Source organism: Homo sapiens, chromosome 6, assembly GCF_000001405.40.
Source record: "Homo sapiens chromosome 6, GRCh38.p14 Primary Assembly".
In the NCBI taxonomy this organism is placed as follows: Eukaryota; Metazoa; Chordata; class Mammalia; order Primates; family Hominidae; genus Homo; species Homo sapiens.
This window is the reverse complement of record NC_000006.12, coordinates 128,169,732-128,187,512: the sequence shown is the minus strand read 5'-3', so window position 1 is coordinate 128,187,512 and position 17,781 is coordinate 128,169,732. Positions and strand designations below refer to the sequence as shown.

The following is a 17,781-nucleotide window of genomic DNA, read 5'->3' as shown; positions in this document are numbered from 1 at the left end:
TATGTAGGAGTTGAGTCTTCAAAAATTCTTCAAATAATGCCTAGTGCACGAATGAATAAATTATAATGTGAAAAAGTTAAATAACATATTTAAGATTACACAGCTATTAATGTGTAAGCATTTTTTTCATATTAGGTTTCCAGACTACAAATTTTTGTTTTCTTTTATATATCACTTCCTTAAAGATAGAAATGTTGGAATTAATGTTGTGCTTTACTGTTTCACTTATTTCTCTTCTTTCTTTCACTTGTTTCTTATGTTGCGGTATGGCTATTTTTTCTTTCCTTCCTCTCTCATCTTTTGCTCTCCTCTTAGGTTTTCTCCTTATTTTCCATAGCAAGAGTGTGCAGAGTTTTGATTGGTGAGATTTACCATTTGATATACTCACATAAGTTCAGGTTTCAGAATATCTATAAATTTATGATTAACCAAGGTTTGTTATATATAATTCACTTGGCATATTGTGACTGTTTATTCTATCCCTACACTGGGGTAGCACCCCAGCGAGATGTGAATTTAGCATTCTTTCCAACTTAAATTAGTTAGTATATGAGCCATCTGGAATGAAAACAAATATTGCACATATGAGGCAACTCAGTTTATTCACAAAATACAGACTGCTTCTTAAAATATGTGCAGCATTTAGGTAATCTCGGAAGACATTTACATTTTTTCTATTATGTTCACTTCTCGATTCAGTTTCATTTTAGTTTAGGGTTTGAGAATATATCAACTTTCTCCCTCTCTACAAAAACTTTTTAAAACTCTGAGTACAAAAGTTGTTAGAGCAGTTGGTAAAATTTCATGGTATGAAATGTCTAGCTCTGTCTTTCATAGTTGATAAGTGAAAATTCTAAACTGTGTTTATTTTATTCAAACTTTTTTCTTTTGTGAATAACTTCTCCGTTGAATTCAGTCGTGAAATTGGAAAGAGTTCACTTACTATGCAATTTTGACTACATATTGTTGAAACAATTTGCAAACTATCAGGAATGGATGTTGTAGTTAAAGTTTGTAAATCATATGTTAACCACTTTTCTATAGAAATTATAAATGTTTGCACTTCATATAGCATATGTTATCATCTTTGATCTTAGTTTTGTTTTTGTTTTAAACATGAGCCCAGTGAATCCCAAGGTCATGTGGTTCTACAAATAATTAGTTTAAAAGTTACTGCCATAATGAGCCATGAATACTTGTGAGGAGTTACTTATGTCCTTCAAGTGATTTTGGACAAAAAATATTGATATTACATTCATTATTTATCAGTCTTCTTTTTGTTTCCTATATAAATTTCAGTTTAAAATAATGAATTCATTGATTTCTTTTTACTATGTCTCCCCTACAATGTTATATGGATACCCAATGTGTAGGACAGCCTAACAATTAATAGCTACTCAATTAATATTTATCATATGAATTTTGAAAGAATCTTCTTGAAAATTACTTTAGCCTGTGTAGCTGTACAGACCAGATAATCTTATTCCTAATTTTAAGGTTATTTGTAATTCAGAGGCTTTTAAGCTAGAAACTATACTTTTATACAATCAGGGTTAAAAAGAAAATCCTGGTCTGCACCTGAACATTCTTGTTTCATTTAAACCTGCATAAGAAGGTAAAACCTGTCTACAGGCCTTATTTGCATTGTATATTTTTCATGCAATGCATTGCCATTGAAACAAAAAATCCAACTAGAAAGATATTGATTATGTGCTCATGACTTCCCTCTATTTGTACCTTCTTCAGTCCACCCCGTACCTGTAGTGGGTTGGACTGAGGGAGCATTTTGTGGTTGTGTTTTAATAGTTTATGTGATTTGCTCCAACTCTTAAAAAAAGTTTTAAATTAATTTTTGAGCAATTACTACTTTATTAACACTTTCTTTAGGTCTTTTGACTTTCCTGAGAAAAGTGAGAAGTGTTCCAGGAATTCAAAGAACTTTATGAGTTATTATCCCTTGTGGAAAGACCATATGAACAGAGCTATAGCTGTTGAGTCCTTCATAAAGTTCGGTGTCTCATTTCAGTCACATTGTTCTAATGAAAGAAAAAAAAAGTGCCTTAATATATCATTCAACTTTTCTGTAAGTACAAATGTTGAAATAATGTTTTCCAAAGTTTCTTTCAAGCAGAATATCTTAAGATATCCAAAATTAAATTATAGTGTGCCTTTGATATTTGAGTTTAATAGTTGGTGAATTGCCTTATCTTATGCTGCTCCCAAAGACCAGTGATGTTTAGTGATTTGTGATTGTGCCTAGGTGTAAATTTAAATTTGTCACACTGTGAGGCAGATTTGTAGAAACAAGTTAGCACCTGGCATCACTTTCTGAGTTCGGTTATGTTATTCTTTCTTCCTTTACTCATCTGTAGAAACTGTGAAGAAGTAACAAGGAAAGCAAAAAGAAAAATACCTCTTGGGCATAGTTTGTGAATGAAATAAATTGTCAAAGATCAACTCTACTCTCTTAGTAGCTAATTAGAGCTATCCATATCTAAATATTTTCTTTTTATTTCCTTTGTATACTGTGACTTTACAAGTTGATCTCCTGAAAAAAAATGTGTTTTTAATACAGGAAAATTATGTTAAAATAGTCATATGCACTTGCAAAATTATATGTTCTTTAAAAGTACAGTTGTCAGATCATGCGTCTTCTAGTTTTCTTTCAAGTATTTATTATGCATTTCTAATAAATGATCCATTAAGCATTTAGGCCTTATTAGACACTAATATATCTTTGTATTATTTTAAATCTTACTAATTGAAGTGCACACTCATCTCTCCTAGAACCGCCAAGACCCATTGCTCCTCCTCAGCTTCTTGGTGTTGGGCCTACATATTTGCTGATCCAACTAAATGCCAACTCGATCATTGGCGATGGTCCTATCATCCTGAAAGAAGTAGAGTACCGAATGACATCAGGATCCTGGACAGAAACCCATGCAGTCAATGCTCCAACTTACAAATTATGGCATTTAGATCCAGATACCGAATATGAGATCCGAGTTCTACTTACAAGACCTGGTGAAGGTGGAACGGGGCTCCCAGGACCTCCACTAATCACCAGAACAAAATGTGCAGGTAAGACTGAGTAGCAGACCTTTTCTACCTTGTGAAGGAATCTAGCATAAGACACATTAATACATGCAGTGTTGAAGGTTCTCATTATTTGATATATGATATAGTCACACTATTAAGAGTTCCAATGAATTACATAAATCATCACCTTGATTATGTCATAATTTGACTGATTTGAGGACATGGGAGTGCTTCTCTATTCTCAAGCCATTATTATTATGAATCTAGAGTCCTTTTTTGGCATGGTAGTTTTGGTGAGCCTGCTACATATTCAGTCCAAAAATCTCTGATAGCTGTAATTGAAAGCATTATTGAGAGAAAAGATCATTTTAGTTCAAGCAAATACCGAATACTTTTTTACTACGTGGAAATTCTCTCCCTCAGTAATTTTGTTACAGTCAGTGTAAAGGCCACATCTTATAATATGGATAAGAAAAGTTACTCTGGACAATGCCTCGTTGAGATAACTATTTTCTTCAGAATGTCCTGTTGTTGAGGATTACCTCAGGAGCTTGACACCCAGCTGCAGAACACAGAGAGATTTTCCTTACACTTTAAGCCTTTCTGTTGCCTTCCTCATGACTAAAACTGAGTAGTGAAAATAATAGTGTATGGAGAAAACACAAAAAAAATGAAAATTAAAAAATTGTATATAACCACACATCCTGGTTCTTTACCATGTTATAATGGGAGGAATTGTTAGCTATTAATTAAAAGCCAATAAAAAGTTTAAATATCTAATTTACTTGACTACATTTTTAGTGTAGTGTTTATTTTGTCTTTTGTTTCTTGAGCATCTGTTTATCATTGACAGTATTGTTGGGCTACCCACCAGGAGTACTGAGCTACCATCCAAGCAAAACCCATTCAGTTACCTGATGTATCGTAGAACATATTTTTTAGTCCAGCATCATATTTATATATCAAAAACTCCTGCTGAAAGATGTTTACTAATAGGAAATTTAACTTCTCAACTATTAGCCTGAGACTTAGATGATAGAGAGTCCAATAATTTGCTGATTGCTGTATATATTTATCTGGTTGTTGAAAAGGAGCTTAAGCTAGAAGATGTTGGGTAAATTTCCATGGCTCAGCCTAAATCTCACAATTTGCTTTTCAAATATTCTGTATGTCTATGTCCTTTCAATCGAGGTCATGTGACAAATTGTTTCTGTGATAGAAGATAAACTTTCTGAGGGAGAGGCAAGTTGACCCCATAATCTCAACTAGTCAGAGAAATCATTTAAAGAGGAAGCAATTTGGAAACTAAAAATTAGTTCACTCTCTATTCCAAAATTAATATCCCATGCTAATGTGAAAAATTGAACTATGGAGTCCATTTTACTAAGAATACTGCATACATGTTTTCTAATAAAATTACACTTTTCTACATATACATACATTTATAATGTACATATAAATTTTAACAATTTTGACAATTTGGTATTCCAGTGATTTCCCTCTTGACTTCCTGTGCCCAAACTACTTTCTTTTAAATATCTCACCTGCTTTATTTTTTTATTTTCGTCAAAATAGGTCTTTAAAAAATTAGCATTACCACACAGTGTATTGTTAATATAATGTAATTTTTGTTTAACTTAGGAATTATTTGAAATTGGTTCCAGATGTGAAAGCCATGGAGATTGCATGTAAATAATATTGTGTTTTGAAGCCAGTTATACTGTGTTAAGTGGATAAAAACATGTTACTGAATATTGATTTATCCCCATACTTATGTTCTGAGTGGACTTTGGACTGTTTAAGTAAAAATATTACTATAAAGTGCTTTGAAGTGTTTTATTCTGAGAATAGCCCTATCTATGTGAGAGGGAATGAGGATAGTTAACTTACACTCATAGCTGCTTTTTTGTCTTGCTCTATTGTCCAGGCTAGAGTGCAGTGGCGTGATCTTGGCTCACTGCAACCTCTGCCTCCTGCGTTCAAGCAATTCTCCTGTCTCAACTTCCCGAGTAGCTGGGATTACAGGCATGCGCTACCATGCCCAGCTAATTTTTGTATTTTTGTAGAGATGGGTTTCACCATGTTGCCCAGGCTGGTCTTGAACTCCTGACCTCAAGTGATCTGCCCGCCTCGGCCTACCAAAGTGCTTGAATTACAGCTGTGAGCTACCGTGCCTGGCCCATAGCTGCTTTCTAACTTATAAATGTCTTGATATTTTGGAATTATACTGTCTTTTTATCTGATTCTTTTTTCTGAGAAACATTTAATTTGTGTATTCTTTGTGGCATAAAATGCTTTCAGGCTCAATCACTTGTAGTTTTACTCCCAACAGTATTAAGTTTATTTGTTTTTAAAACTATCTTTCACATGTAGTGAATTTTTATCACATGTTTATTATAGCTAATTAATGTCCTCATAAGGTATGTCTGCAAGATTTTTGGGGAGGGAAGTACTTATAGACTAGATTTTCAGGTAGACTGCAAATTTGAGAGAAACCATGGTTACTATTTCATCAGGAATGTCTACTAATCTTGCTCTGTTATTAGAAAATAAAGAGAAGCTTATGGAAGTATATATTGTATTAATTTTTAAACAGTCTATAAAAAGAAATGGAACATAATTGATATATAGTATAATTAAATACAGAGTGTTAGTTAGGATTATGATGTATGTTCATCCACTTCCCTTCTTTAAGATCCATTTACCTTTCCCCAAATTTCAGGTCCCCCAGACTTGAAATTACCAATACCACTACTGGCCTCAGCCCAGAAGTTCATATCAACAAAATAGAACACAGTTTATGTTAACTATGATATTAACTGAATTTTAGTACAGATTGCAAAAACTTATAAATGCTTCATAATCTTGGGAAATACCTTTGAGACTCCAAAAATAACCTTTGGAGGAAGTTACCATCTAATTTTGTTAAATTCTGCATGCCTAAATACTGGTTCTATAAGAGGAACTGAATACTAGATTTATAAACCATTCTTTTTTAATTAGGACTGGGACTATTCCATGTTACAGTTGTAGAATTTGCCATTAATATAATCTGATTGAATAAATGTTGATAATTTTAAAGTAGCTATTTTAATAGTCCCTGCATGTTAGACTATGTGGCTGTAAAAATAAGTACCAATCAAAAAGTAAATTACTTACAATTTACTGTTTTTAAAATTCCATTTTAAGGTATTTGAGGCATTGACCTTTTATTTCTGATAATAGTAAATGTTTATTTGATGGAAATCTGTCAATAAATAATTTTCCAGCAAGTCAATACAAAGGTTTTCCTTATTTATAATAAAAAATAAATTTTACATTTTCAAATGTAAATGTAGGTTTTTTTGTGGCCAAGTATGGATTAATGCTAGTGTAGAATCAACATATGAAGTGAATGTATCATGATATTTTATTTTCACACCAATCCTGTGAAATATATTATTTTCTCACTTTTTAGTTGGTAAATTTAAGACTCAGGAAACAAAAACAAAACAGTAACTTGTCCAATATCAGACAGATGGGCCTCAACTCCTTTTCTCAGACTTTTAACGGCCTTAATACTTATTCCTCTTATTCCTATCATAGGTGATTTTTCTCCCTCTTATAATAGTATAGCATGAGTAAATAAAAGCACAACAAGTAAAGTCTGGAAGAGATGTACATTTTAAAAAATAGAGTCTGCATGGCTAACTTATTCTCTGAGAAAATATAGGTTAATATTTGCAACTTCACATTTATTGAAAGCCCAATTGATTAGTGCTTAACTCTCCAATATATGCTGTGTTTTAAATACTTTAAACAGTTAAAGTGTAAAAGTACTTTATCCTTTTCTGAAAATATCCTGTCTGGTTGCCAAAGCTTTTTGTTTGTTTGTTTTCCTTCCAAAGTGCATTATAATCATTTGGTAACTGCAATTAGTTGCTTCAGGGTCTCTGACTTAGGAGAGGTGGTAATTACAGCCTCCAGTGGCTGAAGCCACTGAAGCCTACCTCATGCTTCTCTAGGAACCTGAGGGGTATGATTATTTCGCTGTTACTTTATACTCTGACCCATGCTATTGTTCACATAATGTTTCTTCAGGCACTTCATAAATTTTTAATTTGTCTTAAAAGGGAAGTAATTCAGAAACTCCAGTGAACAATCAGAGAAAGTATGCTTGCTTTTTTTTTTTCTGTGTGTCTATTTCCTCTGGGTATACCATCTGGTATAGAAGCTAGGCAAATACAGTTTCTCTTTCTCTTATTAAATGGAAATAAAATATGCCATCATCAGAAATTGTCTGTGTTGCATGCTTTGGCAATTGCATGTTAAAATTGCTCTTTTAAATTGCCTTCTGCTTCTGGGTAACCCATTGTGGAACTGCTTTATGATTAACTGACATTTTAGCAGCATCTCTCTCATAGGGAAGGTCAATAGTTCAGAGTGTCCAGAACATAATACATTTATGCAGTTGGGAAAACTACTCTCTACTCTTATATTGAAGTTCAATGCTCTTGGCAATTTTCAGTGAAACAGTTAGATCTATGAAGCAGTGAAAAGGAGAGTGTCTTATTTTAAAAGTAAGCATTTACTAAAAATGCATTTTTTTTCTTGTCCCAAATCCAAAATGGAAGGAAAAACAAAACAAAATAATACTCAGGCATATACCAGAAACCACAAAGTGAGAAGTTAAATTTTAGCCTTTAGTCTATAGCATCATCAGCAAAATGGTACCATATATTGATTTTTGCTATGGTTTAAGATAGTTATCAATCACAAAGACTAGTAACCGCTAACACTCAGCCTAGAGGTTGAAACAAAATAAACAACTCTTCTAAGAGTTGGTTCGGTTTCACAATGTAAGGATGACTTACTATTTGATTTAAATTGTTGGCTTATATCAATGCTTGCTTTAAATTTTTTTGAAATGTATGAGCTTCTTATATATGATCTTTATATGGCTTTGTATTGTTTTTGAGCAAGAAATTTAAAAGGCAATGCTATTATTATTATTGAAATAAAAAACAAACTAAAGGTAAAAAGCCACAGGAAAAGTAATGGAAGCAGTTCTTCAATTTTCTTGGGAATGTAAGAATAAAATTTCATTTTAGATTTCCTTTTTGTGAGTAATAACCTAATTTTTGGTTTTTAGATTCTGTAGAGAATACTTCTGTTTGAAAAATATTTATTCAGAAAAAAACTTCTGTTGGCTTCTTTCTTTGTTAACAGTACCGTGTTAATTAATAGGTCTTCAAAGTTATACAACCAATGCCTCACACTTAAGCTCCTAGAAGTCACTAGGGACCAGACCTATAAACAGAATAAATGCAAAGTGAAATGAATAAAATGAGAGCAAACTGCATGTTTTTACCTCCTCGTAAACATTAATGATATTTTTGGGTTTCTGAAAATAGATGGGTTCAGGTGGATCACTGGCTAACTCTAGGCTTGTGGTAGAACTGAGGCTGGCAGGTGAGCTGCAGCTAAGTCTAACATGATCTACCTCTAATGGATAATGTATAGGTAGTCAACACCTATACATTCTGCTAATTTTCAGGTAGACTGCAAATTTGAGAGAAACCATGGTTACTATTTCATCAGGAATGTCTACTAATCTTGCTCTGTTATTAGAAAAGAAAGAGAATATATTATGGATAATAACATAATCTAACATGATTACCTAGTTGTTTGTATGATACAGACTGACATTACTAGATTTGTTTGTAAAAGGATCATCCCATCTCTGGAAGCTAAGGAAGGACTAGAAGCAGAGAGATCATGAAAACATGCATATAGATAGATAGATAGATAGATAGATAGATAGATAGATAGATAGATGTCTTCTCTACAGCATCTTTCTCATTTCAAATCAGAAACAGGAAATCCATAAATTCCTGGAAAATATTATCATTCATAATAATCAGGAAGGTTACTTTTATAAGGGGATTTTAAAGATATGTTATAAGTGAATAACTTTATTGTTTGAATTACTTTTCTTATTCAAATATGTGAATTGTCCAATATTAATACACATGAAAAAAATGGTATAATACATTATATTAGAGGGGAAAATCATGAGAGATTGGAGATAAATTCAAGAGCTACTGTGTATTTGATGAGATGTTTAATTATTTCACAAATTTTAGTGAGGGCCCAAGTTGTACACATCGCCACACGCAGGACTGCAGAAGATAAAACATTGAGAAGACAACATTCCTGCTCTTAAGGAATTGACAGGCTAGTGTTATAACCATAATAAAAATATAATAAATGATACAATAAAAATATAACATACTTCAGTAATCCAAAGAAGAGAGGGATAATATCTGACCAAAAATAATTTTTCCCAAACACTATTAATTTTTCTAAACAGAGTTGGTTTAATGCTTCCGTTGAACAAAGCCATGGCCTTATCCATAATTCCTTACTTGTGAAATAATGCATAAAACAATGTCTAGCCAGTAGTCACCATAAGGATGGTTTGCCTTCCCTCTTTCCTTTCTACTCAGATATAGGAAATCTATATGGACAGATGGAGGTATTAAAATGAAAGATATAGTTCATATTCTAATATATATCATCAAAGTTGTTTGTGTTTTTTTAAACCTCTGGGGTTCATGGGAATATAGAAATGTTATTCTAAATTTCTATGGAAATGGAGAGACAGAGACAGACTGACTTATAAGGTAATCAACACCTATACATTCTGCTAATGGTCTATTATGCTAGGAGTTCCCAGCATAAGAGTCATGAAAGTTGAACAAATATGAAATAGCCTTGCCCAGTACCTTTTGGGTTTCACCTCAGGAGCAGGTTGTACAGTTAGTCATACATCCCAATTCAAGGCACATTTCCTTATAGGTGGTATCATCAGTAGCAGTGTAATTAACTTTACTAATAGAGTTGGGTTGTTTTCACCTTAAAATTGTGTCATCTGACTGACTAGTTGGTGAAAGACATTTGGTAACCAGTGTTAATGACACTGTATTTATTTATTCATAGTACTTTACCACATGCTGAGTCTGTTAACTGTATCATTAAGTACTCTTTTTATTGGCTTTGTTTGTTTTTATTGAATTTTGCATAACTACAATAAATCTTCAGGTAGAAATGATTTGAATAACAGCATCAGTCTCATGAAATGTTCTTTCCCCTCAAGTCCTAGGTTTTTTATTTGATATCAGGAAGTAGAAATGGCTTTAAAAGTAAAATGGTATATTTATAATGTCTTAAATGATGATAACACCAGGAGTATATGATGAAGAAAATGACCTAGATAGAATTTTAAAGATATAGATCTAGGCATCAAACTCTAAGGGATGTGTTAGTCACAAAGACAGGTTCAAGAGATCTAGCCTGTGAGTTTGAGACTTTTCTTTGATGGTGCTATTGGGGTCACTATGAGGTATAGACTTGCTCTTGATTTTCTTTCTCTTTACCTAGAGAATTTACTTCTGTCTTCAATTCTCACACCCTATTCATATCTTTTGTTGAATTGTGATTTCCTTTCTTTGTTTTGAAATATGAAAGAAATCTCTAAATCAGGTTCTGACAGATGGGTATGGATAACCATACCCATCCTAGGTATTATTAGCATTTTGGGGGAGTGTTGGTCATTCTGTGCAATTTCTTGATTGAAAAAAATGATATATGGATGAATCTCATTATTTTCATCATTTAATTTGACTCATTACTACATGGAATCATCAGCTTAGGATCTCACTTTCTGGTCTTCATTGTCTTCCTGCAAGATATGGCCTTATCATGGCTAATAATTGCTGGAGGATAACTCTTCAATCTTCTTTCCTCTCCACCAACCTGAATGTAAACTGCAGAGGGGAAAAAAAGCATGTTCAAAGGAAAAAGCAAATGAGTGAATTCTAATCCCAAGTCTTCTTATTTATAGTAAACTTTGTGAACTCAGTAAAAAATGAACTTCAAAGGGCAGAAATTCATGCCTTTTATGTCACCCTAAGCAAGATCTGTGCAAATTCAGCTGTCACTACATATGATATGGCCTAGAAATCATTGAGTGATGTTCATTTTAATTGTCTCAGCCAAATCATCTCAGTGAAGTTGAGTTTAAAGAACTCATCTTTCATTCTTTGGCTATGTTATTATTTCCCACTTCTACATAGTCCCTCACCACAACAAAATAATAATAAGCAATCATAAAACAGTTTATTATTACCTGTTAATTAAATTATTTTAAGCAGTTGCTATATTCTGTCCTGTTATTCAACCTACCCAAAATTTACTAAAAACCATATTTTTGTTACATATGAACCTATAATACCTTTTGCTAATACAAGGAATATACACACACATATGCATATATATATGTACACACTCTCCTTTTAAGAGGAATTAATTTTAAAAATTTAGATACCACCTTAAAAATTATATTAGTGAAGAATATTAAAGCAGAGTCATTGTTCCAGAGTCCTCTTTCCTGCTTCTCCATCTCTCTCCTCCAGCTAATTTTGCATTTCATGCATGTGTGTGCATTGTGCATGTTTGGATGTTGTGCTTTTATTTGGGGTGGGGGGCAGATACTGATTTAGAGTTTTCTTTCTACAACAGCCAAATCCTTTCTGTTTAGGTGGATAAAATGTGACATGGGTGAACTAGCTATCCTTAAGCTTGATTTCTTTGGAGGGCCCTTGCTGGAAGTCCCATATTCTGTAAAGACTGCATAGAGCTTACGTACCCAAATTATTTTTTTAAATTATGTATATATTAAAATAATACATCAAATGTTGCAACTAGAATTTAGAAAAAAACTCATTATTTTAGAATGTTTACAAAACTATTGTCATTTTTGTCAATGCACTATTATTTTTCTCTGTTCCTGGGAGTATTTTAGTTGTAAAGTACAAAGTATATACAGTTCTATATTCCGCTTATTGTAATTGCCATCATGCCAACCCATTTCCTTTGTTTCTACAGAACATTATCACCATCACTTTAAATGACTGCTTAATATTCTGTTGGATATATATATATATCTGAATGTATGTAACCATTCTTATGTTACTGAAAGTTTGGACTAACTCCCGCTATTGGCCATTGTAAAAGCCGCGGTGAAGATCATGAATGTACCTTTTTTCCACATAACTGAAAAGTTCTTGACAAATACTATTCAACTACTTTTTGAAAGTATTATATCAATGCGCTTTACTGACACCATCAAGGCCAATCATATGGTTTTAGTGCAAGTAAGTGCTTTATAATTAATCAAGTCCAACTCCTTTATTAATCATCATTCTGGGCATTTAGTCTCAATAGGGAAGTGATTTGATCAATATCAAACAGCTATTGTAGGAGAAAAACCAAGACTATCATTTGTATTGCATTTTTAAGCTTTTCTTTTACATGAGTATCTCCTGTATTCTAGACTCTGTCTAAATTACTGGATATTCTAAGATAAAAACTCTGTTCTCTAGCTACTCAAAGTCTAGAGAATTATGATTACAGTAGCTCACAAGTACTGAGTAATTGCTGTGTGTCAGGCACTAGTGTAAACTCATAAATGCAAACTGAGGCTGCCTGAATGCATTTCTGTGTTGAGCTGCCCAGAATGGTTAGAAGGTAGACATGCAGGTTAATAATTAAACCAATAAGCTGTATAATAGATGTGCACAAAACATCTCTAAAATATGAGTATAATTTCATCAAGCAGTCAATCAGTAAAATAGGTGGTTATCTTAAGGTTTGAGAGCCAGTAAAGTCTAGGTTCAAATCTTGCTGTAATCCTTACTGATGTGCAAGTAATTTAATGTAATGTTTCACTTCTTCATCTATAAAATAAAAATCAATAACTGAACCTGCCCAATTTGATACTTTTGAGCTATTTGGGCATGTACTAAAGCTAACAATCAATTTATTAAATTTGCAGGAATTTTGCCAGCTGGTTGTGAAATGATTATTTTGAAATAAATTTATATATATTTACAAGTATATTTTAAACAAAGGAACATGCACTTAAACCTCCTAGTTATTTTAATATATTATACCATTATTTCTATTCTTGAGGTTATTTATGTTTATTTTATCTGTATGTTGGAAACACTATATAATGATCCTCTGATGCTCACTTATTCCTAATTTTTACGCTAGTGGCAACGTTAGAGCACTGAAATTTTAAGTGCTACAAATGAGGGTTTCTTTTCCCTCCCCACTCCTTCTTCTTTCTGGATAGCCACAAACATGTTTACAATATTAAACATTTTTCCTTCACATCAATGGAGATGACTCCTGCAGAGTGCTTACTTAGCACAATGTATGAGACATAAGAAGACCATAGTAAATATTAGCCATTGCTACATTAAAAGTCATTTCATTAAAGATATTTTTCCTCTAATATTTTAAAAACTACAAACATGCAGAAATCTGAAGGAATTATACAGTGAACACTCATATGTCCACCACTATAATTTACCTTTGCTGTATTTGCTATACTAAATGTTGATCTACCTTTACATCTTTTTATTCATCCATCAGTTCATCTTAATTCTTAATTAATACATTAAAATATTTTATGTAAGGGAATACATTTTTTAAAGAATGAATTATTTGAATTTTTATTAGAATGCTTAGAATAATTTGTGTTTTCTAAAGATTTCTCTAATGATAGTTTAAGAAAAGGACTGAAAGGAGATTTCAGAAAGATTAGAAGGCTGCTACTTCAGTCTAAGCAAAAATTGATCAGTACTTGAACCGAAGCAGAGGAGATAAGAATTCCAATGAGGAGACAGGTGTTGAAAGAGATTTGATAGGTAGAATCAGTAGAACTTGGTGACACATTGGAAGTGAATTCTGGCTTGGAACATTAAGGTATAGGGACAGGTTTTAACTTGAAGGGCTCAAACATTGGGGAAAGTTTTAGAAGGCAAATCTCTGTGCTTATTTTTAGAAATGAGGCATTGGGTCAGGCAGTTATTTTCCTGGGTTTATGGTTCATAGAGAGGGCAGACAGCAGGATATACAGATTTAAGTGTCATCACCATTTAATTCCTCTTGCGAGATTCATGAGTATACTATAATTTCCTTGAATTGGAAATTGAAGTAAGTTTCTTTCAACCACATTTTTAGAAATTATGCTCTTGTAGGAAAAATTTCACTGTATATGTTAGTATCTTATTGCATGAACTATTCTGATTACTCAAGCCTCCCTGCTCAAGGGCAGAAACTGGTAATTATTTTACATAGAGATAACTTAAAAATATGTAGCAGATTGTTTTGTGTTCACAAGTATTTAAATTTGTTCAATATGTGATTTATGAACTGTGATCAGTTTGTTGAATTGTGATTTCTGTAGCTGCATTTTAATTGTTCCCCAGAATGGGTAGCTCAGAGCATTATGCTAAGGGCAGAATCAAATGTAGTTTACTGTTGGTTTTTATCATCCAATCCCAGGCATACTTGCAAGTAAGCTAATGTGTGTTGAGCATATTTCTATATTCGTCCCTTTATTGCTCTCTTACTTCTCATTGTCCCTCACCCTAGTGGTTCCTGGTGCTCATATGCTGTATATGCACCCTTCAGATGCCTCCACAGGATGACAGGAGAAGGACCTGAGCATATGGCCCCATGATTAGCAGTGCTGGTGTGCCCATTCTTTGGAATATATTGATATACCTATAGTTCGTGTGTGTGAGAGAATATATATGTATATATGCTAGATATAGAATATATGTCATATACACACGTATGTACACACATATGTACATGTTACACACTTATATGTACGTGTGTATATGTATGTGCATATCATATACATACATATATATCTAGTATATATACATTGATATGCATATATCTATAGTGGGTGTGTATATATATACACATTATATATATACACACACACTATATATATATATCTACATATCAGTATTACTTTGATATCTTACTACAACATCCAATTAGAACAACTTATTTTTAAAATTTTTTATCAAGTTCTACACTTGAGTGCTTTGGTAATGAGCGAAAATAATTACCCTGATTTTTTAAACCCTTGAGTCAGAAGCCTCTGTAGGACAAACTTAAATATTTAGACTTTCCAAGGATTTTCAGTAGCACAGGGGAGATAAAGCACCTATCTCTCTTTCAGTGAAGAGAAGAAAATAAATGTTTCTACCCTTTCAGATTTTACTGGAATGTTATTATAAACTAAAAAGTAGGTCAGCAAGACTGAGTTGTTTTATTAAGAACAGCAGTACAAATATCATCTGAAGAAGATGACTGTACAATTGCCTATTATTAAAACAAAGGTAGGGAAAATTGTTAGTGATTCATTCCCTAAGCTGTTCCAGTCCTTAAGTATGATGCTAATTATCCTGGGTATTAATTTGATTTCTACTTTTTTAGCTGATCTCCTTTATCTCAGTGATAACATTTTTATAATTATAATTTTGTAAATAACCAGTAAGCCCATTTTTAAAGCTCTGCTTAGTCAAATCAGTTATTAGTTGTGTAGTGAAAAGATTTTCAAAACATTCTCCAGAGTTGGTTGATCAATCCCTTATTTTTTAAGAAGACGAGTTAGAAGTGCCTCAATTATGAAATTGGCTCTAAGAGAGTCAAATTTGGAAATCTAAGCTTTTAGAAACATATTTTTGACTGAAACATGTATACATATACTTGTAATAATAAAGTTAAAATGGGGTAAATGTTACCTTTATCTTAAATTTAACATCAAGAATTGATCTAATGAAGAAATTCATCCAGAATTTAAAATATTCTTCTATAAAACAATAGGGCATACTTACAGCCCTTTAATATACAAATCATCAGAAGTCTCTAAATAATAGAGAAATCAATGTCTACTTCATGCAGCACAACAGCAAAACAGAGCTGCTCCCTTATTACAAACAGTACATAATAGTTTAATTTTCATGGGACTAGTAACGCATTTGTTATATCGTGGTTTTTAGTGAGGAATATTGTATATGTCTTCAGTTAAAAATATATTCTCAGCTTGGACAGGTGGTACTTAAAGAGTCTGGAGTGAGAAATGGTTTGGCAGGATAACAAGGCATATTACAAGTGCCTGCCTTGAAAGGTAAGAAAGAGAGTTAGACATTTTCCATTACTACCTACTGTTAAGGTGCTCGCATTATCCCCTAAACAACCTCATGCTTGTGGCAATAATCATGCACTGTCGGTTTTTTGTACTAATATGAAAGTGCGGTTCAATCTTTTTGACAAATACTGCATCATTTCTGGCTTGGTGAATTTTTGTCACTCAAACCTAGTTGATGTGTAAGTAGGTTGTGACATGCTGGCTGAAATGACTTTGGATCCACTGTATTGAAGAAAGTAAAATTTTACTTGAAGTGTTTCTTCTTTCCATTTCTCACTCTTCTCTCTACTCCACCTAGACCTCACTCCTTCCCTGAGTTTAGATTCATCCTACTTCCTTTGTAAGGTACATCATTATACATTATATGGGAGAATTATCTTATAGTGAAACTGAAGGAAGCTTTTCATGGAAATGTGTAATTCGTTTATTATTTTCTAAACTGTGTATTTGCACGTGTATCCATATGCATCACTGCACAATCTAAGTGTTAACAGTTTTTTTTTTTTTGCTTTCTTACTAGGGCTTATGTCTAAAAATGCTAGTTTGCAATATCTATAACACTAGCATTTTAAAGTCATTCATAATCTGTCAATTGATATGAAATATAAACATTCTGCCTTTTTACTTTCATTATTTTAGTGATAAATTTTGTACTGCTTAAATGTTCTCTGCAAGTCTGTGTGGTTTGGAAGGAATTGTCGTTTTAATTTCTTCTTCTTTAGTGACAACATGTGCATCTATTATGGAAAAAAATGAAAGGTAACAACAGTTGTTAATTTAAGAGATGACCATGAATTCTCAGTGCTAGCTCCCAAGGTGGCACTCCTAAGAAAGAGGTCATTTCTCAAGTAAATAATATGCCAGGTAAGATCTGTTTGCATTTTAAATAAAGTGATTGATTTAGGAAATATTACCTTTAGAAAGTGCAAGTTCAAATGAATAGTTTTCTTTAACCCCCCAAATAAGATTATAAAGGAATTACCCATGTCATGAGTTTTTTGTTGTTCTTGTTGTTTTAATCATTGTCTCCTAGTAAAGTAGGCTTTGCTGAGTAAAAACATAGAAATAGACTTATCTATTGATGGATAAGTATAATGGATAGGTATAAATTAAGCGTAGATGTAGAGACAAAGATGTAGCTATCTTCCCTGTCACTTATTTGTGGCCTGCAGGGGAGTTTTAACTCATCCCCAACACTCGGGCTCCCACAGGCAGTATTCAGGATCTGCCTTGGTCTGTTTTGTGGTGTTTGTTTCATGAAGTTTCTTATTAGGCTTTGTGTTATTCAAAATTAAAATTTTACATACGATAGTCCAACTAATAATTTAGGAAATCATATTGCCATTATTAAAACTTGCTCACAGTCTAATTTAAATAAAATCTGAGTAAAAACAAAAGGAAGATGCCTACTATAATTTGAAGATATTCATTCACTAACGTTTCAACATTTATTTTGTCACCATTAATTTATTTTGTTTTTCAAATAAAAAGTAAACTGTATTATCCCATATAGTTCTGGAAAGTGCCTGGTGTTTATCATAAAATTATATATATTATTTGTCTCCATTGTAATAGTGGCCTTAAAATAATACACACACACACACACACACACACACACACACACACATTAAAAAAATAACATATTTAAGTGGGAATTGGAAAGAAATGCTTAACAATAA

General features: G+C 32.6%; 1 protein-coding gene and 1 long non-coding RNA gene across 7 annotated transcripts in view; both read left to right on the top strand.

The window, feature by feature from the left end:
* Positions 1–17,781, top strand: part of PTPRK (protein tyrosine phosphatase receptor type K) — a 551,815-nt gene that overhangs the window by 333,087 nt on the left and 200,947 nt on the right. For all 6 annotated transcript variants that reach the window (NM_001291984.2, NM_002844.4, NM_001135648.3 and 3 more), the window contains one exon: positions 2,788–3,081. In NM_001291984.2, the coding sequence (NP_001278913.1) occupies positions 2,788–3,081 (294 nt within the window). The remainder of the gene's footprint in view (positions 1–2,787; positions 3,082–17,781) is intronic.
* The window catches only part of LOC124900216 (uncharacterized), a 61,437-nt gene continuing 46,743 nt past the window's right edge, over positions 3,088–17,781 (top strand). Inside the window, exons 1-2 of the long non-coding RNA XR_007059752.1 lie at positions 3,088–5,511; positions 8,576–17,781. The exon at positions 8,576–17,781 is cut by the window's right edge and continues 46,743 nt beyond it. This is a non-coding gene — a long non-coding RNA (uncharacterized LOC124900216). The remainder of the gene's footprint in view (positions 5,512–8,575) is intronic.